The sequence below is a fragment of the Homo sapiens genome, chromosome 17 (assembly GCF_000001405.40).
Source record: "Homo sapiens chromosome 17, GRCh38.p14 Primary Assembly".
Classification (NCBI taxonomy): Eukaryota; Metazoa; Chordata; class Mammalia; order Primates; family Hominidae; genus Homo; species Homo sapiens.
The window spans coordinates 16,708,006-16,731,509 of NC_000017.11; the positions used below are offsets into that span (position 1 = coordinate 16,708,006).

The following is a 23,504-nucleotide window of genomic DNA, read 5'->3' on the forward strand; positions in this document are numbered from 1 at the left end:
GGTCTACATTCAGTGAGAGTGGGGTTATGAAATCAACCCAACTGCCTATTAAGGGAATCATACCTTGCAGAATGGGATCTTTGGTGTTAGGGTACAAACAATAACTTTCTAACTTTTTAGATGCAGAAACTTAGTAAGAATTATCTTTAAAGTTTTAGTAAGTGTTATTAGGGGACCATAGTATATATTAGAACAGAACTGAAGAAGATAGTCTAGATATATAACCCTATGATGTTACAGTATATAATTTAAATTAAAACTTAAGAATTTGCTTTTCTTTCTGATTGGTGTTGATTCGGGCTCCTAATAATTTGAAGATTGCCTACCCTCCAGTTAGTAATCTATGGAACTTACATGTAGTAATATATAGTACTTACATGTAGTAATATGTAGTACTTACGTGTACTGTAGGGGCTCACTTTCCAAGTGAGGACGCCTTTGTAACACTAGAAATCGTCTGCTAATTCATTTTTGGTAGATTTAATACATAATGAATTAAGTTTATTCCAAACAAACAGTGACAAAGTTAAGTTTGCTGGTTCATATTTTTCTCCTCCTTTCAGCTAAGACAATTTTTTTTTAACTTCTTAGTTACAAGCCAGTGATTTGGGAGTAGCTAAACCTAGATGAAGAAGTTTAACAGTTAAATTTTCATTTTAATTATTTGTGAATTTTTCTTTGTTCATACCTGTTATTTAAGGACAAAGCTATTTTTAAAACATGTAGCCCAACAGAGAAGACACCCAAGAAATAAAACAAGCAAATTAATCTTCCACTTTTGCATCTGCAGAAAACGTCTCAAGAACCAGAAATGGCTAAGGATTGCGATAGAGAGGATATACCTATATATCCAGTACTTCCTCATGTGCAAAAATCTGAGGAAATGTGGATTGAACAAGGCAAATTAGAGTGGAAAAACCAATTAAAACTCGTCATAAATGAGTTAAAGCAGAGGTTTGGTGAAATTTATGAAAAATACAAAATTCCGGCTTGTCCTGAGGAAGAGCCACTACTTGATAACTCTACAAGAGGAACAGATGTAAAGGATATTCCCTTTAATTTGACAAATAACATACCTGGTTGTGAGGAAGAAGATGCATCTGAAATATCTGTCTCAGTGGTATTCGAGACATTTCCTGAACAAAAAGAACCCAGTCTCAAAAATATCATCCATCCATACTATCATCCATACTCTGGGTCCCAGGAACATGTTTGCCAGTCATCTTCTAAGTTTCATTTACATGAAAATAAATTAGACTGCGACAATGATAACAAACCAGGCATTGGACATATTTTTAGTACAGATAAGAACTTTCATAATGATGCAAGCACTAAGAAAGCAAGGAACCCAGAAGTGGTTATGGTTGAAATGAAAGAAGACCAAGAGTTTGATTTGCAAATGACAAAAAATATGAACCAAAATAGTGACAGTGGCAGTACAAACAACTATAAAAGCCTGAAACCTAAATTAGAAAATCTGAGTTCTTTACCACCAGATTCTGACAGAACATCAGAAGTATATCTACATGAAGAATTACAGCAAGACATGCAAAAGTTTAAGAATGAGGTCAACACATTAGAAGAAGAGTTCCTGGCTTTGAAGAAAGAAGATGTTCAACTTCATAAAGATGTAGGGTTTTACTTGCTGCCACTCTTTGTTTTTTCTCTCAATTATCTGGTCCATTCTGATTTTCCACTTAGGAAAAGCATATGAAAAGCATACAGTTTGGTTGTCTAAATCTGTAATTGTGTGTAGAAACAGATGATTTCTAAGTAATAGGAGTTTAGGAAAACTTTCTCATAATCTTCGTTTCTTAATTGACCTAAGTCTCTCTGTCAGTCTTCCAAGTGGCGTATGGATTGTGAAACTCATTTAGCCATATATCATGTGACCTTCAGAACCAGGAGAGGCGTCAAGAAAATCGCTAAAGGAAATGTGATGAGCTTGAGGGCTTTTTCCTTTTACCGACTTAAAGATGAGTTGTGTCTAACAATAAGATGGGAATACAGTAGAAAGGAAGCAATGACTAAGAAGAGATATAAAAATGTATCTAGCAGGCGTGGTGGCAAACACCTGTAGTCTCAGCTACTAGGGAGCCTAAGGCAGGAGGATCATTTGAGGCCAGGCATTCTGGGCCGTAGTGTGCTATGCCGATCAGGTGTTCACACTAAGTTCGGCATCAATATGGTGACCTCCTGGGAGCGGGGCACCACCAGATTTGCTAAGGAAGGGTGAACCAGCCCAGGTCGGAAGTGGAGCAGGTCATAAGTAACTCCTGTGCTGATCAGTAGTGGGGTCGTGCCTGTGAATAGCTGCTGCATTCCAGCCTGGGCAACGTAGTGAGACCTCATCTCTTACTAAAAAAAAAAAAAAAAAGAAAAGAAAAAAGAAGTATCCAGCCCTGAGAGCTGCAGCAAATATTCCTGGCCAATGAATCTGTTTATTGTGCTTTTCAGGTTTTTCTGTTTAACTCAAACTGCTGGAACTTAGAATTGCATCATGACCACTTTAAATATTTTTCAACAACAAGTATATACACTTTAATATATTTGTTAATATAACTACTCTCCACTGTTTCTGTTGAATCAGACCTTTATGTTATGTTGCTTAATAAAGTACAGTAAGTTTTGGCATATATATTTTTTCCATGTAAGTAGCATAAATGCTCAGCCAAACACTTAGTATATGATGCCAAAGTAGAAAGCTGAGTCCTCTACATTGATTAGGGCAGGCCTCCCACCCTCCGCTAAGGCATTAAATTATTTTACCCAAGTCACACTTTTAACCTATCTGATTAATTTGCTGAATTTGTCTGATTCAGTATTATGGAATTGTACTGTCTCTTTTGGTGCCACAAAATGCTAGGTAATGGCACTTTAGGGGCTTTGGATCAATCATTTTAATCTTTTTTGGCTTTAGCCCAGTTATCTATAGAGAGTGAGCTAAAGTAGATTCTTATACTGTATATCCTCCAGCTATAAACTTTTATGGCTATTGAATGTGAAATTTGGGAAGCATCTCATTTCCAGAATTCCACCCTAGCTCAGCAGTTTCACTCTGCTTTTTGTGTTGTGGCAGACTTGTATTTCAGTAAGCACCTTCACCTTTTTGATATCCCAGGATTCAAATGAAAAAAAAAAAAAAAAAAAAAACAAAAGTTAGTGGGGGAAAAGAATAGCTTAGTGCAGAAAAGGGAAAGCTTCCTTTCTTTTCCTGAAACCCCACAGTGTTGTATCCTCTCAATCTGGCTGTTTAATATGAAAGTCAAGTGGCAAAGACAGAAGAAGACAAGCTTTGTGTCTTTATCTTCTTATTTCCATGTTTGTGCCAGTCAAATGAGGTAAAAATTCATAATACATAGTAAAGGGTGGTTGGGAATAAAAGCACAAAATTAAGAAGGGCCCTGCTTGAAATTTTGGAAAATTCTGTCTCATTCATTGAAACAGAAATGAAGCTGACTTTACAAAAATGTTGATGATAAAATTATAATAATTATAATTATATGATGATAGTTCCAGATGTGATAAAATTAAAGTAAGCACCAAATATTTTAATGACTGAAATTATAATTAAACTGAGTCAAGTGATGATGAAATCAATGCAAACAGAAAAAAGTTCTTTGTATTGAATAAAGCAATAACAATCATCCTGAACATCAAACTCTCACTCAAGGTTGAAGAAGAAATGGAGAAGCACAGAAGTAATAGCACAGAATTATCAGGAACCCTAACTGATGGTACTACTGTTGGCAATGATGATGATGGACTAAATCAGCAGATTCCTAGGAAGGAAAATGGAGAGCATGACAGGTAAGCCTATAGCAGCGTTTAACAGGAGACAATTGGTCAAGCGTGGTGGCTCACGCCTGTAATCCAGCAATTTGGGAGGCCAAGGCGGGTGAATCACCTGAGGTCAGGAGTTCAAGACCAGCCTGACCAACATGGATAAACCCCATCTCTACTAAAAATACAAAATTAGCCAGATGTAGTGGTGCATGCCTGTAATCCCAGTTACTCAGGAGGCTGAGGCAAGAGAATCATTTGAACCTGGGAGGCGGGGGTTGTGGTGAGCTGTGATCATGCCATTGCACTCGAGCCTGGGCAACAAGAGTAAAACTCCATTTCAAAAAAAAAAAGCAAAAACAGAAACAAAAACAAAAAACAGGAGACATGTGCTATGAAATGAATCCTAATTTGGGCTAATATTCATGATGAACAGATTTTATACTTTTACTAGGATATTCAGCCTTCCTTGGTTATCAGAAAAATGCAAACTAACAATGAGACACCATGTTTTCTAATCATATTGATATTTTATTTAAAAAATCGGAAGTATTGGCAAATGTGAAGAAAAAGGCGTTTTCATACACTTGTTAAATGAAATTGATGAATCCTTTTTGTAGGGTAATTTAGTAGCATGTATCAAAATTTCAAATATGTCACTTCTTTAACCTAACAACTTCACTTTTGGGACAAGATCCTACAGGAAAATATGACTTGTGTAAACACATACACATATATGTTAAGGACATTTATTACATGTAGTATGTAACATACAATAGGCTAATAGGTTAAATATATATAATGTTAAGTATATATGATATATTTATGTTAAGGATATTTATATATGTTGCATATATACTTATGTATAAGGATATTTATTATAGCATTATAATATCAAGAAGTTGGAGATAGTCTAAATCCTTAGCAATAAGGAAATAGTACAATTGTCATACCCAGAAAATAATGTAGCATGCACTCATTTTAACAAAAGAAGTTGTTAGACCAGGAGTGTACTGATTATTTCACAATTAAAGTCTATTTAAAGCCTTTAGTTTGATGACACATCTTAAGCCAGTTTTGTTGGAATTCTCGTAATATCTGCTGAGTTACAAAAGGAAGCTAGCTACATGCTACATTGACACTGTACCTTGTTAGCAACAGAATTCTAGTTATTAAATTTTTGTTTTTTGCTGTCAATGTGTGAGTGCTGAAATACCAGATCCTCAAATTAATCTGAATATTGCCAAGGGATTGCACATGGGGATTCATGTTCCGTGTCAGCTTTTCAATATACTGGGTAAAACTTACTAAAATACAACAGAGGATCTTAGCTCTACTGAACCAAGAATTGGACAGCTATTTTTGTAAAGAGCCAGTTAGTAAATATTTTAGGCCTTGTGAATTATAAAGGGCATAAGTGTGGCTGCATTTCAAGGAAATTTCCTTATGAAAACAGGCAGTGGGCTGGATTTGCTCCACAAGCACCAATTTGTTGATCCTTGTGCTAAAACCAAGGTGCTGTTATGCAGTGAATCCTCTTTTTAAAGGTACCCTACATGCATGCCATTATCCTTTCTTTTAAAAGATAATGTATTTCAGTAGGAAACACACCATATTTTTCAACAGTAGCTTCATATAATTTAGACAAATTTGATTTACAAAATAAGATTATTTTCTGCACTTGTCCCCTTTTATTCGTGTTATAGAATTCCATATTTTGACTATTACTTTGTATATTTGATGAGTATAAAATATTCTAGAATTAGATGATTTTTATCAAGCAAGAAATACTTCTCCTGAAACTTTTAGTCTTCCTTGGTCTTTATGTATAAGCATGAGCAAAATGATAATCAGCTTATATAATCTAGAAATGTTCAAGAGGTCTTTTGGTTTTATAAGTTAATGAATTTTTATTTAATACCTTCATCTGGCATTTCAAAAATGCCATATAGATATGATTTAAAAAAACTTTTAAAGGGTAAAAATATAGTATATAGTTATATAAGAATTGAAAAATACAGCTAAACAAGAAGAAAATTAGATCATCTACAGTCATGCCCCTAGGTATGCTGGCCTTGAAAGAGTGGTATATACTCATGGATTCAGATTTCTTGTCCATTCACTCTTGAGCTGATACCAGTAATTTTCACTCCTACCACTCTTCCAAGATTGTTGTTCTCAAGTTTACCATTGATTTGTAAATCTAGACATTGTTTCTTAGACCTCATTTTATTTAACCTGTCAGCAATATTGGACCCAATGGAAAACTCTCTCCTCCATAACAGTGTCTTCACTTGGCTTTCAGGATCTCACTCACTCACCTGGCTTTTCTTCCTGCCTTTCCAGTCCATCTGTCATAGTCTGTTTTGCTTTCTTCTCATATCCCACCTTTTACACATTGATATGTCCCAGGACTCAGTCCTCAATCTTGTTTCTCATGACTTTTACTACCTTGTGTGTGCTAATGATTTCCAAATGCGTGTCTCCAGCCTAGATCTCTCTCCTTAATTCCAGACTTCTACACCAACCTGCCTACTTGACATCTCTGTTTGATTGGTCACGAACTGTTGGGTATCACAAAACCAGGTCCAAGATTGGGGTACCGATATTCTTTCTCATACCTACCCCTCACATGGTCTTTCCTACTTGCATTAATGGCAACTCTTGCAGTTGCTCTGCTAGAAACTAAGGTGTTGTCATTGACTCCCCTCTCTCTCTGACACCTCACATCTAATCTGTCAGCAGATCTTGTCAGGAGTACCTGAAGAATATATCCAGAAGCCAGTCATATCTTCCATTTCCAAGCCACCACCATCTGCTCTCTAGATGCATGTAATAGACTGTTAATTGGTCTGTTTTTTTTTTTTAAAGAAACCTCTTTTCATTAATCCTTAACTCAGTGGCACTTAAAACATAAGTCAGATGATGTCATTCTTCTGCTCAGATCCATCTGATTGCCTCCCATTTCACTCTGAGTATGTGTCAGGGTTCCTCCTCATACCTAGAAGGCAACACACAATATGCCCTGTTCTCTCTCTCACTTAAACTTCTGTTTCTTATTCCCTTTGCTGTGCTTCAGCTACACTAAACTTCTTGCTCTTCGTTATCTATCACAGTTGCTTAAACACCCCAGGCACACCTCTGCACTGGGCAGTTCCCTGTGTCTGGGATGCCTTTTCCTCAGATAGCCTCCTGGCTTTCTTTTTCCATTCCTTCAGTTCTTTACTTAAAAGCCCCTTTCTCAGTAAGGACTTTTCTGGCCATCCTAGAATTCCCACTATCCCTCCTCTCAAACCTGTAAACATTTCATTTTCCTGCTTTAGTTTTTCTCCTTTAACACTGTATATTTTGCCTAATCTATCTATGGTTATTGTGTTTATTTCACTCCCATGAGTAGGATGTTTGTGTGCCTAGAAAAGGGCCTAGCTTGCAATAAGTAGCTACTCAATAAATATTTATTAAATGAGCAACTGAAGTTTACCCTTCGGTGTATTGTTTTAAACATTAGATTGATTCTCAGGTAAAAAAAAAAAAAAAGAAAGAAAGAAAAAGGTTTCACATGGGTTCATTCTAACACTTTTGCCTGGAAATTATATGCGTTTTTGGATTTTTTGGCTCTTTGTAATAAGCTACATTCTTTGTATTAATAGTTTTCCATTTAGAGAGAAAAGCTCAATATTGTCATTACTCACTATTTATTCTTTTACTAATAATCATGATAGTTTTACTTATGATAAAATGGATCAAAGGAATTACATAGTTCATTGGTAATTTATAAAGAAAATTAAAATATAAGGGTGGTAAATTTAATGGACTTAAAATTGTTTCCAATTGATTATGAACCTTCAGTATTTGAAGTTAAAAGACCAAGTTGGAATGTGTTGCTTTCTATAAGAGAGCTATGCTCATCAGGCACTCTGTATTCTGACAGAGCAGCTGTTGATCTTACATAGGGTTGCGGGAGGAGCGGACTTGAAGCATTGGCAGACTCTCAGCGGCATAAGAGGGTTAACATCATCTTGAGAAACATGGCTATCTGAGTGAGGCTGCTGTGGGTTGGTTAACACTCCCAGGCTTGTGGATTGGAGCGAGTTTGTGTTTAATTGGCTGTCTTTCCAAAGCAAGTGGCGCACGTTGATATTGGTTGGTGAGAGAGGCCAATGGTCACTGATGATTGACTGTATTTACAACTGGCTGTGGGTGGTTGCTTGTTACAAATGTAGCTACTAAGTTTGAGACAACTTTAAACTGCAGTTTTCTGTTTAAAAGTTGCCTTCCATCAACTATGTTTAAAATGAAAATGATTTCATATTCCAGAACTATAGACTTAATTTGGAAGTGTGGGTCAAGAGGAATTGTTTAATAATTGCTCTCAGGAAGATCTCTTTTTTTGATGCTTAGTCTTAACCAGAAGAATTCGCTACATAGTTAAAAAACAAGCAAACAAACAAACAAAAAACAATTATTAATTTTGTTTCAGTTTTTAGTATTTTCAGAGACTTCTGCTAAACTCCTAATCTCCAGTGGGAAATGTTTGTCTCTTTGTTAATGTATGTAGTTATATGATAGTGATATTCTTTTTTTTATTCCTTAATCTTTTTTTGTTCACTTTCTCTTCCATGCAATGATAGTGATATAATGTGTGTTTACTTCATAAAAAAGTAATTACAATTTTCTGCTGGCAAATCCAGCTTTTTATATTAAGACTAAGTACTAGACTAAATATGTGGGAAATTTACCAAATTATTTTATTTTCAAACAAGCATATAATTAATCAGAATATTGCTATTTTTGAACAATATATAATGACTATAATGACATTTAGGAATTTTAACACTAAGATTTTTTTCTTCCCGAGACATTTCCTTGATTTCTTTCATGTAATATGTGCCTGTTATTTTTAAGACTTGGTTTAATCTGTTTAAACATTATTATATTTAAAAACAAAACCCAAAACATAGCACAGATCTAAATATGAGTTTCATGTGTGAGAGTCATTGCCTGTGTGCAGTGGATTCCAGCTGTTTTTTTTTTTTTTTTTTTGAGACGCAGTCTCGCTCTGTCGCCCAGGCTGGAGTGCAGTGGCACCATCTCAGCTCACTGCAAGCTCCGCCTCCTGGGTTCCCGCCATTCTCCTGCCTCAGCCTCCCGAGTAGCTGGGACTACAGGCACCCACCACCGCACACGGCTAATTTTTTGTATTTTTAGTAGAGACGGGGTTTCACCGTGGTCTCGATCTCCTGACCTCATGATCCGCCCGCCTCGGCCTCCCAAAGTGCTGGGATTACAGGCGTGAGCCACCGCGCTCGGCCAGCTTTTTTTTTTTTTTTTCTTTTCTTTTTTCTTTGTGACAGAGTCTCACTCTGTCACCAGGCTGGAGTGCAGTGGCAATCTCAGCTCTCTGCAACCTCCAGCTCCTGGGTTCAAGCGATTCTTCTGCCTCAGCCTCCCGAATAGCTGGGACTACAGGTGCGCCACCATGCCCAGCTAATTTTTGTATTTTTAGTAGAGATGGGTTTCACCATGTTGGCCAGGATGGTCTCGATCTATTGACCTCATGATCCGCCCGCCTCAGCCTCCCAAAGTGCTGGGATTACAGGTGTGAGCCACCACACCCAGCTGACTCCAGCTTTTTAGTGTGGCATTCATCTTCCATTCTTACTTTCTTTGTGTTTTACACTTTTCCTTTCAAGTTCCTAGGAAACACCTAGACTCCATGGGACTAATCTTTGTGCTGTCATTCCATTCTCCAAGTGGAGTAGTTTTCTCTATTTTTTCCCTGGTGAGCTCCTCTTATATTTTGCCTCTTCTGTAATGCCTTCCTTGTGCTAAAATATAACTTTCCATATATCAACTCTTAAACTACACATTGTATCATAATTGCATATTACCTGGTTTTTGAGGCAGGAAATATATATTTCTTTATATGTTGATAATTCATAACTGTGTTTTTTGAATTAATGAATTGAGATGGGGAAGAGTTGGAATTTTACAAAATTTTTTTTATTTGTTATCAGTAGAATTATTATAAAACATTGGCCTTTTGTAGATTTTTTAAAGTTGTGGTTCTGCGTTACATATGAAGGAAGTAAAGAAAAATGAAAATAAAAAATGTACCTCAAAATAATCTCTGATTACGCCAGTGTTTGAGAAGGTAATTTAGTAACTTGTGGTCTGCTGCAAGGAGATGATGACAGCAGTTTAAGTGAAATAGATGAGGTTGAAAGAAGTTAAAATGTATAAGTTCTTTATTTCTCTGAGAAGGAATATTCCCAGTGGTTACTTTTTCTGGAAATAGAAAATAGTGTAGTCTGCCAAAGCTAGAGAATACTCAACTATATCAATGCTGAAAGACTGATTATGATGAGGGCTGGTAACTTTGACAAGGAGCAGTTTGAATAAATAATTGCTGTGGAATCCTGACTGTAGTGGATAAGCATAGATACCCCTTGAGGGAACCGTTATTGGGAAAGGCAACAGAGAAATGAGTGATAACTGAAGAAGAATGTGGGATTCAAGGGAATTTTCTTTCTTTTTTATTTCAAAATAGAAGCTTTTAGAGTGTGTTTGTATGCTGCTGGGAATGATAGGGACAAGGATAACATGTTTATGAGATTTAATTTTGTATGTCTAAGTGTTTGAAAGCTCGATTCATTATCTTTTGTAGGTTTTTAGCAAACTAATTGTCCTTAAAGTGTTTATTCACGTAGAGTTTTATGGTAAGAGTTTGTTCCTTCAGCATTGGTTCAGAAATGTAACATATTAGCATAACTGAACCTGTGAATGGTGACCTAAAATTTAAACTATCATATGCAGATTGTTTTTAATTGTGAAATAATAAACATGCAAACACTTAGGCCATACTGAATAGAATTTAAACATCCCTGATGAATAGGTATGATCTGCTGAGGTACTCTAAAATGTCAGGAGTATCAACTTTATAGTTGTTTAGATTCTGGGGAGAAGGGGAGGGTTTTGTTTAAGTACTTTAGAAAAGCTAACTGTTGACAATCTATCAGATTATTACTTCTGGATTATAAAGTGTTTTTTTTTTTTTTTTTGAGACAGAGTCTTGCTCTTTCACCCAGGCTAGAGTGCAGTGGCACAATCTTAGCTCACTGCAACCTCCACTTCCCAGGTTCAGGCGATTCTCCTGTCTCAGCCTCCTGAGTAGCTGGGATTACAGGCGCCCGCCACCGTGCCCAGCTAATTTTTGTATTTTTAGTAGAGACGGGGTTTCATCATCTTGGGAAAGCTGGTCTTGAACTCCTGACCTCGTGATCCATCCACCTCGGCCTCCCAAAGTGCTGAGATTACAGGCGTGAGCCACTGCACCTGGCCTATAAAGTTTTTTTAAAAAATATTTAATCAAGTTGACCTACAATGGATTATAAAGTTCTGAAGTATCAAAACCATGTTTCCCTGGACCAACATTGCCATCAGCATGTATTGTGTGCTCAATGAGTATTTATTTGTTGAACGGGTGAATGAATGGGTGAATACATGAATGAATACCTGTTGATGGATTTCATTAAAAATACTTTTTAGTTTTTTGAAAGTAGGTTTCTAAACTTGCCTCTGTATAAAGTTTTTTTATTAGAAAAAAATTGCAAGATTCTGACATTATTTATAGTTGTAGTCAGAAATGGAATGGCAATGTGGGTTCATCTGCTATCATCTCTCTTTAAAACACTTGAAAATAAATGTTACCTTCACAGCATATCATGAAGCACATGTTTTTGAGGCAGAATTCTTAGGTTTGAGTTCTGGGTCTGCTACTGACCAGCTATATGGGCTGAGGACAGTCACTTGGCCCTTCTGTGCCTATTTTCTTTCTTTATAAAATTCTTAATATGTTACTGACCTCACAGAATTGTTATGAGGATTATATGAGTTTGACACATGGACAGTGCTCAGAATGATGCACAGTACCTGCATAGTAAGTCCAGAAAAAGCTTACTAATATCATCATTAAAAAAGGGTTTCCCTTATATAAGAATGTGAGTAATATTTTCCAAATAGGTTTTAGTGCCCGTAAAAGCTTGTTTTTATTGAAAAGGACAACAATGAGAAGACCCTGGTATATTTATTTTTATCACGTAATGCAGGTAACATGTTTTTTTCTTTTGGTTTTACTATGAGAAATCTTGACCTAAATTTAATTCTTTGTAATTAAATTAGTAGTAGTAAATTTCTTTATCCCTTAATGTTGCTGTTTCTGTTTATAGTTTAATGTCCATTGTAGAAAATTACTGCATTTTACATTACCTGTAAAAAAATTACCTATACACTTGATGAATAGAAGTAACACAAATGCAGACATTTTATATGATAAAACAGTAGTGTTAGATATTCTTTGTATTTTACATCTTTGCTATTTTTCTAAAAGGAATTGTTTTTTTTTTTCAGGCCTGCAGATAAAACATCTAATGAAAAGAACGAGGTATTGTAAAAAAGGAAATGATCTAAAATATTGTTTTTAAAAAACAAGTTCTAAAAGGTAAAAATGAAAAAAATAAGATGTTTTGTTGTAAGGCTGTTTGCTTAGAAAAAGTGATGAAGAAACAGTAACCGTTGATAATGGTACCTTTTAAGAACAATCTGTTGCTTTAAGAAGTACCTGTATTTTTGCTCATACAAAAAAAATGGAGAAATACCGCTTCTGTACCTTTAGTATATGCTATAAATCTTTCGAGGACATTTTGAAACAGTATTATTTATCTTATAGGTCAAAAACCAAATATATCCTGAGGCTGACTTTGCTGACTCAATGGAGCCATCTGAAATAGCCTCAGAGGATTGTGAATTGTCTCACTCTGTTTATGAGAATTTTATGTTGCTGATTGAACAACTTAGAATGGAGTATAAAGGTAGGACCACTGCATAAATGCAAGGCCTTTTGATGTATCCTGCAGTAATGTGTGTATACATTGCTGAGAACTGACGTGTGATAGTGAAGCTCATCTCAGAAATACGCTCAGTGTTAAAATAGAGAACTAACTTATACTCTACGCCAAAGAGCTATGATAACTCCACTGTACTTTTCTCAGTGTGAGTGGCATTCCCAGTCTTTTTGTTGACTCTTTCTCTCCTATTCCTTCCCCCAATGTCAGGTTACCATTTTTTTCTCCACCTGGAATGCTGCGAGAATCTTAGGAATCTTAGAACTGTTTTCCCAAATACCCCACCTCCTAAAACCATGGTCTAGTCTGCAATCATAATGATAAATTTTTAAAAATTCGGATCTGATCATGTTACTCCTTTGCTTATAACTCAGCTACTGCTTCTTATTGCTATAAGGTTAGAGATCTGAATCCTCTAGCTTTATCCTGCATCGTTTTTACTCTTCTCTTTCTCTGTGTCCCACTCTGTGTCTTATATGTTTGTTCCAGCACTGATAGCTTCAGTGAGGTATAACTGATATGTGATAGACTGCACGTATATAAAATATACAATCGTGTGCACATTTGAAACCACCATAATCAGGAGAGTTAACATGTTCATCATCCATAAAAGTCTCTTCTTGTCCCTTTGTCTTTCTTTATTAAGAAACTGCTAAATTGTTTTCCAAAGTATTTGTATTGATTTTGCATTCCAACCAGAGGTATACGACATTTCTTGTTGTTCTGTATCATCACAAGCTCTTATTATTGCTGTTTTTAAATTTTGAAATTTTAGCCATTCTGATGGATGTGTATTATGCATATCATTATGGTTTTAATGTGCATTACCCTAAGGACTAATAATGTTGAGCATCTTGTATATGCTTATTTGCCACCTGTGAACTGTCTTTTCCAATCTGGGTAGCTTATGAACATTTAAAATTGAGATTCGATTCAATCAGCTTTTTTACATACACCAAAGATAGTCAAACCTTTTCATTTTCAAACTGTTATCTTACTAAACATAGTAAATATTTTAAACTTGTGACAAAATGGTCTCTGTCACAGCCAATCAACTCTGCCATTGTAGTATGAGACCAGCCATAGACAATACATATGTTAAAAAACACAGCTGCATTCCATTAAAACTTTATTTGCAAAAATAAGAAGCTGCCCCGCAGGTTGGATTTTACCCATCCCTATTATGTGATCATGATTGTGAATAAAGACAGTTTTACTTCTTCTTTTCAACTCAGGTAGCTTTTATTTCCTTTTCTTTCCTAACTGCACTGGCTTCAGTGCAATGCTGACTAAAATAGTGAAAGGAGACATTCCTGTATTGTTCCCGATCTTACAGGGAAAGCATTCAGTTTTTCATCATGACACATGTTAGTTGTAGGTTTATCAGAGATGCTCTTTATCATGCTGATGGTGTTCCCTTGTATTCTTTGGTTACTGAGAGGGATTTTTTTTTTAAATCAGGAATGAATGTTGTATTTTATCAAATGCCTCTATCTACTGAGATGATCATATGGTTCTTTTAGTTTTTTAATGTGGTGAATACTTATATTTTACTGTCAAACAAACCGTGTATTTAGGGATAAACCCCACTTGTTTATGATGTATTATCCTTCTAATGTATCATTGGATTTGATTTGCCAAAGCTTTATTTAGAGCGTTTTAAAAGACTATTTTTTAGAGTAGTTTTAGCTTCACAGCAAAATTGAAAGTAAGGCACAGAGATTATCCCTGTACTCCCTGCCCCCACACATGCATAGCCTCCACAATTATCAATATCCTCACCAGAGTGCTACACTTGACCTCATTGATGTTCCTGAATTGATAATCATAATCATCCAAAGTCCATAGTTTATATTAGGGTTCAGTCTCGGTGTCTTATATTCTGTGAATTTGGACAAAAGTATAAGGACATGTATTTATCATTGTAGTATTATTCAAAGTAATTTCAGAGCTTTAAAACTCCTTTGCGCTTCATCTGTTCATCTTTTCCCACCTTCCCTCCCCAACTCTTGGCAACCACTGACTTTTTTTACTGTGTCTATGGTTTTGCCTTTTCCAAAATGTCATTTAGTTGGTATCAGACAGCGTGTAGCCTTTAGACTGGCATCTTTCACTTGGTAATATGCCTTTGTGGTTCCTTCATGTCTTCTCATGGCATGATAGCTCATTATCGCATGGCTGTACCAGAAGTTGTTCACTCACCTAAAGGAGGATATCTTGGTTTCTTGAGAAACTGGTTACATTTTTACGTCCATGTTCATGAGGGAGTTTTCTCTTTTTGTAATATCATTGTCAGACTTTGGTTCAGGGTAATGCTAGAGTGACAGAATGAGTTGTATTTCTCCTCTATTTTTTTTTTGAGGGCGGGGGAGAGGTCATATAAAATTGTTATATTGCTTCTTAAATATTTGGTAGAATTCACCAGCATAGCTATCTGGGCCTGGAGTTTTCTTTCTAGGAAGGCTTTACTTATGCTTTCTTTTATAGATATAGGACAGTTCATGTTATTCCTTCTTAAATTGGACCTTGGTAATTTTTGTTTTTCAAGGAAAGTGTCCATTTTATCAAAGTTGTCATGTTTAGTCACATAAAGCTTACCTTATTATATTTCTATTCTTTTAGTATCTGTAGAATCTATAAAAATGTCATATTACTATGTTTCTGAAATTAGTAATTTGCATCTTCTTTTTTATGATCAACCTGGCTAGAGTTTTATCACTTTTATTGACCTCCTCATAGTGTGTGGTTTTATTGATTTTTTTCCTATTGTTTTTCCATTTTATTGGTTTCATCTTTGATGTTTTGGTCTGTTCCGCCTGCTATAACAAAATACCATAGACTGGGTAGCTTATAAACAACAGAAATAGATTTCTCACAAAAGTCCAAGATCTAGGTGCTGGCAGATTTGGTGTCTGGTGAGTGACCAATTCCTGGTTCATAGATCTCTTTTTTCCCCCTGTGTCCTCACATGGCAGAACAGGTGAATGAGCCCTCTGGGGTCTATATATATAAGGGCACTAATCCCACTAATGAGGGCTTGGCTCCCATGAGCTAATTACCTCCACAAAGCCTCACCTTCTGATAACATCACCTCTGTGATTAAGTTTCAGCATATGAGTTCTGGGAGGATGCAAATGTCAGACAATACCAGATGCTTATTGTATCATTTCCTCTGCTTGCTTTGAGTTTAATTTGTTCTTCTTCTTTTTCAGTTTCTTCTCTTTTTTTAGTTTCTTAAGATAAAAGTCAAGACCATTGACTTGAGAGTCTTCTAATATAGACATTAAGTGCTAAAAAATTTTAAGTACTGTTGTAGCTGTGTTCCACAAATCCTGATATGTAATATTTTCATTTTCATTCAGTTCAAAATACTCTCTAATTTCTCTTTGCATCGTGTCTTTGACCTAGGGTTATTTAGATGTGTATTACTTTGTTTTAAAATATTTGAATATTTTGATGAGATATTTTGTTACTAATTTGTGACTTGATTGCCATGTGGTCAGGGAACATACTTTGTATGACTTAAATCTTTCTGACTTAATTCTTTCATTAAGATTGATTGCAGGCCGGGTGCAGTGGCTCACGCCTGTAATCCCAGCACTTTGGGAGGCTGAGGCGGATGGATCACGAGGTCAGGAGATCGAGACCATCCTGACCAATACGTTGAAACTCTGTCTCTACTAAAAATACAAAAAATTAGCAGGGCGTGGTGGCAGGCTGAGGCAGGAGAATGGCGTGAACCCGGGAGGCGGAGCTTGCAGTGAGCCGAGATCCCGCCACTGCACTCCAGCCTGGGAGACAGAGCGAGACTCCGTCTCAAAAAAAAAAAAAAAAAAAAAGATTGATTGCAGAACCTAGAATGTGGTCTGTTTGGTAAGTGCTCACTGGGTACTTGAGAAGCATGGTGTTGTTCAAGTGTGCTCCATTCTTGCTGATTTGCTGCTCCCTTGTTTTATCACTTATTGAGTAAGTGATATTCAAATCTCAGATGTACTTGTGAATTTGTCTATTTCGTCTATTGATTTTTGCCTCATATATTTTGAAGCTGTTATTAGGTGCACAAACAGTTGAGATTACACGTTCTTGATTAACTGAATTTTTTTTTTTTTTTTTTTTTTTTTTTTTTTTTTTTGGTATTTTTAGTAGAGACGGGGTTTCACCATGTTAGCCAGGATGGTCTCAATCTCCTGACCTCGTGATCCACCTGCCTCGGCCTCCCAAAGTGCTAGGATTACAGGCATGAGCCACCGCGCCCAGCCGATTAACTGAACTTTTAAAAGTCATTAGGAAATGACTGTTTATAGCTGGTAATTTTTTTTTTTTTTTTTTTTTTTTTTTTTTTTGTGTGAAATCTACTTTGGTATTAACATAGCCATTTCTTCTCAGGCTTCTTTTGTCAACTCTTAGCCTGGTATATCTTTTTCCATTCTTTTGAACAATTTATGTTTTTACATTTAAAGTGCTTTTTTTTAATAGGAAGCATGGAGTAGGTTCTTGCCTTTTTATCCAGTCTGACAATCTGCCTTTTAATTGAGACTTTTAGGCCAGTTCCATTTATAATGTGCTTATTAATACAGTGAAATTTGTCTGTCATCAAGCTGTTTGATTTCCACTGGTCCCCCCAGTTCTTTGTTCTCTTCTTTTTCTGCTTTCTTCTCAGTTAGTCCAGTAATTTTTATGATTTATTTTTATCTCCCTTTTATGGCTTATTAGCGATAACTATTTTTTTCTATCTTAGCAGTTGCACTACAATTTATAGTATATGATTTTAACATCACAGTCCATCTTCAAAAAATATTATGGCATATCATATATGGCATAAGAAAATTATGAATGAAAACCCAAACATTGTATGTTCTCACTTGTAAGTGGGAGCTATGCTATGAGGATGCAGGGGCATAAAAATGATACAATGGAGGTTGGGGACTTGTGGGGAAAGAGTGGGAGGGGGGTGAGGGACAAAAGACTACGGATTGGATCCAGTGTATGCTGCTTGGGTGATGGGTGCGCCAAAATCTCAGAAACCACCACTAAAGAACTTATTCATGTAACCAAGGACCACCTGTTACCCCAAAAGCTATTGAAATTTTTTAAAAAAGAAAATTGGAATAGTATACTTTCATTTCCTCTCTCCCAGCCAGATACTTCTGGATTTGTAGGATTATAGTTTTCTTTACATTTAGAAAGTTTTGGCCATTCTTTTTTTATTTTTCTGTCTCTCTTTTTCCCTCTTTGGGGACTTATTCCTGCTTGAAGTTTTCTCATAGTTCACTGATGTCTCAAATTTATGAATCTTCTCTTTGGTGATGTCTAATCTGTGTTCACTTCCATCCATTTTAGCTTTCATTCCTGACATTGTAATTTGAATCTCTACAAGTGTAGTTTGCTTTAAAGAAAAATCTTCCGGCCGGGCGCGGTGGCTCAAGCCTGTAATCCCAGCACTTTGGGAGGCCGAGGTGGGCGGATCACGAGGTCAGGAGATCGAGACCATCCTGGCTAACACGGTGAAACACCATCTCTACTAAAAATACAAAAAAAAATTAGCCGGGCGCGGTGGCAGGCGCCTGTAGTCCCAGCTATTCGGGAGCCTGAGGCAGGAGAATGGCGTGAACCCGGGAGGCGGAGCTTGCAGTGAGCCGAGATCAAGCCACTGCACTCCAGCCTGGGCGACACAGCGAGACTCCGTCTCAAAAAAAAAAAAAAAGAGAGATAAAAAAAAAAGAAAAATCTTCCATGCCTCTGCCTGTCTGCTTGAGCTTAATTTTAATATACAGTTGAGTTCCATATGAACAGCTTGATCTTTCTGATCTTGCTTTTATGATTTGGTCTAATTTCCTGCTCCTGAGGCAAGATCTTTGTGATGACTCTATTCATTGCCATGCGAAGTCTCAGTTTTCCCAGCATCACTCATGGGAATGGACACTCTTTTTGGCACATCGTGAACACCAGACATGTTTCTTTCCAGTGTTTTTTAGATGTTTTTTTCCCCTTGATCTGGGGCGGTTTTCTGGCACACATGTGCTGTTTGTTACTCTGCTAGATACTCAGGAGGTATTTTTGCAAATCTTCAGTGTTCTTTCCCTGTACTCTGTCTCCTTTCCGGTGTTCTGTTTCGTGATCTCTGTCTGCCTTGGCTTTACCAGACTCTCAGCTTCATCATCTCATCTCAGGGAATCTGGTGGACTCTATGTCAGTTTTTTCTCTCTGTGCGGTAGCCTGGAAACTCCGTGAAGGCAGGGAGCTGGAGTGTTGGATGAATTTCCTTTGTTTCCTGTCTTACGGGGATCATTGTCTTCATTACCTGAAGTCCACTGCCTGGTAAATCATTGTATAATATATTTTGTCTGTTTTCTTTTTGGTTGTTTCAGGCAAGAAGGTAAATCAGTACTTGCTGTCCATTGTGGCCAGAAGCAGATTCCAGCAGAGCTTCAGCACCTGCTGTCGACTGGCAAGAATGCTTTTCTACCCCTTTGCTTAACTGCTTCCTTCTCACCCTTCATTTCTCAGTGTAGCCATCTCTTCCTCAGGGAAATCTTCCCTGGGCCCATTATAGATCAAATTCTTCTGTGTGATCATAGAACTCTGTTTTCTTACACCACATATCTGAATTTATAATTGTCATTTTTGTTGTGTTTGTTCCTCACTTCACTTAAGGCTAAATGAGAGTAGAGGTCTTATCTGTTTTATCTGCAGAGCTTAGTAGAATGTCTCCCACTTTGTAGGCACTCAGTGCATATTTGTTCAATGTATGAAGGAGACAATGTTAAAAATGCACAGTTTTTTAATACCTAAAAGTACTCATATATTTTATTTCTACCTTTTCTCCCTGACACAGATTCTGCTAGCCTACCAAGAATCCAAGACACATTTTGTTTGTGTGAACACTTACTGAAACTTAAGAATAATCACTGTGACCAACTTACAGTAAAACTTAAACAAATGGAAAATATGGTCAGTGTACTACAAAATGAGCTATCTGAAACAAAAAAGACAAAATTACAGTTAGAACTTCAAAAAATTGAATGGGAGAAAGAGCTGTACGATTTGAGGTATGATGTTCTAGTTCTAAAGAAATGTTTATACTAAAGACAATATATCAGAATTTTTGTAACTGCTGACTTACCTTCTGCAGAATAATGGGGGAGAAACCTTTTTGGTCTTGTGGAATATGAAATTCTTGGAAATAATAAAACAAATTATTAACTGTGAACTCTTCTAATAAATAAATGTGTATTCTTTGCAATCTAAATGGCCATATAGAAGTCCACCATATAAAATCTTGTTATTCATTTAACAAATTGTAATTTGGGTTTTAAAATTATCTTGTATTTATAATTAATGATGTAAGGAACATCTTTTATCGTTACTATTATTTGTAGACACAGGGTCTCTGTGCCTGGGACTGGAGTTCACTGGTGTGATCATACCTCCCTGCAGCCTTGAACTCCATCCTCCTGCCTCAGCATCCTAAGTAGTTGGGACTCCAGGTGCACATTCTCATGCTTGGCTAACTTTTTAAGTGTTTTGTAGAGACGGGGTATCACTGTGTTGCTCAGGATGATCTCCAATTCCCAACCTCAAGCATTCCTTCTGCAAAATTGGCCTCCCAAATCATTAGTATGACAGACATGAGCCGTCATGCCCAGCCCAGAACATTTTTTATATAAATGTTTTTCTACATTCCTAAACTGTTTGCTTTGAATAAATTCTCCAATATAGAATTATTGGTTGAAATATAGGAACTTTTTAAAAAGACCTTTGATCAATATTTCTTAATTTTTCACAAGAATGTTTGTGTTAATTTATAGTTCAAGCAACAGAGCATGAACTGGTCACTTTTCTAAACCCAAAGTAATTTTCAAAAAATTTATACAGTTTTATTCTTTTTGAAAAATTTTTTTTAAATTTCATAGCTTTAGGTATACAAGTGGTTTTCGGTTAAATGGATGAATTGTATGGTGGTGAAGTCTGGGATTTTAGTGTGCCTATCACCCGAGTAGTACACATTGTACCTCAGTAGGTAGTTTCTCATCCCTCATCCTCCTCCCACACTCTCCCACTTCTGATTCTCCGATGTCCATTATACTACTGTGTCTGCATTTGTGCACCTATAGCTTAACTCCCTATTATGAGCGAGAATGTGGTTTTATTTGGCTTTCCATTCCTGAGTTAGTTCACTTAGAATAATGGCCTCCAGTCCCTTCCAAGTTGCTGCAAAAGACATTATTTCATTCTTCTTATGGCTGAGTAGTACTCCATGACATATATATACCACATATTATTTATTCCATTCATTGGTTGATGGACCCTTAGGTTGATTCCGTATCTTCGCAATTGTGAAATGTGCTGCAATAGACATACGTTTGCAGGTGTTTTTTTTGATATAATGATTTCTTTTCCTTTGGGTAGATGCCCAGTAGGGGATTGTTGGATTGAATGGTAGCTCTATTTTAGTTGTTTGAGAAATCTGTCTACTGTTTTTCATAGAGGTTGTACTAATTTACATTTCCACCAGCAGTGTATAAGCATTTCCTTTTCACCACATCTGCACCAACATCTATTGTTTTTTGACTTTTTAATAATGAGCATGCTGGCTGGAGTAAGGTGATATCTCCTTGTTGTTTTAGTTTGTATTTCCGTGAATGTTAGTGCTGTTGAGCATTTTTAAATATGTTTGTTGGCCATTTGGGCATCTTCTTTTGAAAAATGTCTGTTCATGTCATTTGTGTACTTTTTGATGGGATTATTTGCATTTTCTTGCTGATTTGTTTGTCCTTTGTCAGATGCATAGTTTGCAAATATTTTCTCCTATTCTGTAGGTTCTCTTACTCTGATGATTATTTCTTTTGCTGTGCAGAAGCCTTTTCTTTTCTTTTCTTTTGAGGCAGAGTTTCACTCTTGTTGCCCAGGCTGGAGTATAATGGCGTGATCTCGGCTCATGGCTACCTCTGCCTCCCGGGTTCAAGCTATTCTCCTGCCTCAGCCTCCTGAGTAGCTGTGATTAAAGGCATTGCCACCACGCCTGGCTAATTTTGTATTTTTAGTAAGACAAGGTTTCTCCATGTTGGTCAGGCTGGTCTTGAACTCCTGACGTCAGGTGATTCTCCTACCTTGGCCTCCGTGTCACTGCACTCCAGCCTGGGTGACAGAGCGAGACTCTGTCTCAAAAAAAAAAAATATATATATATATATGAATTGTATGGTGGTGAACTCTGGGATTTTAGTGCGCCCATCACCTGAGTAGTACATATTGTACCTCAGTAGGTAGTTTCATATATATATATATATATATATATATATACACACATACATTTTTTGTTTTTTTTTGGTAGAGATGAGGTCTCATTATGTTGCCCAGGCTGGTCTCAAACTTCTGGGCTCAAGTCATTCTCCTGCCTTGGCCTCCCAAAGTACCGGGATTACAGATGTGAGCCACATGTTAGGCCTAATCCATCTTGAGTTAATTTTTATATATGGTGAGAGATAGGGATCCAGTTTCATTCTTCTACATGTGGCTATTCAATTTTCCCAACACCATTTATTGAATAGGGTGTTCTTTGCCCAGTTTATGTCTTTGTACGCTTTGTGAAAGGTCAGTTGGTTATACATATTTGGCTTTATTTCTAGGTTCTCTATTCTGTTCCATTGGTCTACGTATGTACTTTTATACAAGTACCATGCTGTTTTGGTTACTTTAGCCTTGTCATATGGTTTTAGATCTGGTAATGTGATGTCTCTGGCTTCGTTCTTTTTGCTTGGGATTGCTTTGGCTATTCAGGCTCGTTTTTGATTCCCTGTGAATTTTAGGGGTACGTCCTCTAATTCTGTGAAGAATGACAGTGGTATGTTAATAGGAATTGCATGGAATCTGTAGATTGCTTTGGTTAATATGATCATTTTCACTATATTGATTCTTCTAATCTATGAACATAGGGCATATTTCCATTTGTTTGTGTCATCTATGATTTCCTTCAGCAGTGCTTTCTAATTCTCCTTTTAGAGATCTTTCACCTCCTTGGTTAAGTATATTCCTAGGTTTTTGTTGTTGTTGTTGTTGTTGCAGCTGTTGTAAAAGGGATTAGGTTCTTGATTAGATTCTCACATTGGTCATTCTTGATGTTTACTAGTGCTCCTGATTTGTGTACATTGATTTTGTAACATGAGACTTTTACTGATTTCATTGATTAAATCTAGGAGTCTTTAGGGTTTTCTAAGCTAAAACAGAGATAGTTTGACTTTGTCTTTTCCAATTTGGATGCCCTTTATTTATTTCTCTTACCTGATTGCTCTGGCTAGGACTTCCCAGTTTTATTCTAAATATGCACGAAATAAGTAAAATGGACAGTAATTGATGATTATTTTATTCCATATCTCTCATATGCAGATAAAATTAATTCCAAATTCATTGTTGAAACACATATTATCCTTTACTTTTAAATATTAGATCCTGTCTTGTTCCAAAAAGGGATTTTAAAATTGGTGATGAAATACTTAAGAATCAAGAAGATAAGTTGAAAGTGTTACCCAAAAGAGAAACATAAAAAGGATGGGGTAACAGTTATAGACAGCTTAGGCTAGTCTTGGATTATAGTAATCTGCAGATACATGGTGTGTGAATGACATCTGAAGGTGTTATCTTACACTGTAAATCATTTTTATGACTACACATATACTATTTCATGAAGATGAAAATGCATTTCTAGTGAATTTCTAAACTTGTTTGTAAACAGTAACTTCTTTTAAATTAGCTAACTCTAAATGATCTGTTCTAATTAATTTTCAACTTGCATAACGTGAAAAAGAAGTAATTTTCAACTT

At 36.3% G+C, this 23,504-nt stretch overlaps 1 protein-coding gene and 1 pseudogene across 7 annotated transcripts in view; both read left to right on the forward strand.

Annotated features, from left to right (window-relative positions):
• CCDC144A (coiled-coil domain containing 144A) overlaps positions 1–23,504 on the forward strand; it is a 111,165-nt gene that overhangs the window by 41,289 nt on the left and 46,372 nt on the right. For 5 of the 7 annotated variants that reach the window (NR_130142.2, XM_017025429.3, NM_014695.3 and 2 more), the window contains exons 5-9: positions 791–1,630; positions 3,674–3,810; positions 12,193–12,226; positions 12,512–12,653; positions 19,522–19,735. Coding sequence is in view for 5 of the 7 variants with exons in the window: in XM_017025429.3 (XP_016880918.1) it covers positions 791–1,630; positions 3,674–3,810; positions 12,193–12,226; positions 12,512–12,653; positions 19,522–19,735 (1,367 nt within the window). In the remaining 2 variants the exon portion in view is untranslated. Of the gene's footprint in view, positions 1–790; positions 1,631–3,673; positions 3,811–12,192; positions 12,227–12,511; positions 12,654–16,240; positions 16,526–19,521; positions 19,736–23,504 lie in introns of those variants that run through there. The other 2 variants (XM_047437149.1, NR_167766.1) reach the window with 2 other exon arrangements.
• Positions 2,058–2,356, forward strand: RN7SL620P (RNA, 7SL, cytoplasmic 620, pseudogene; annotated as a pseudogene).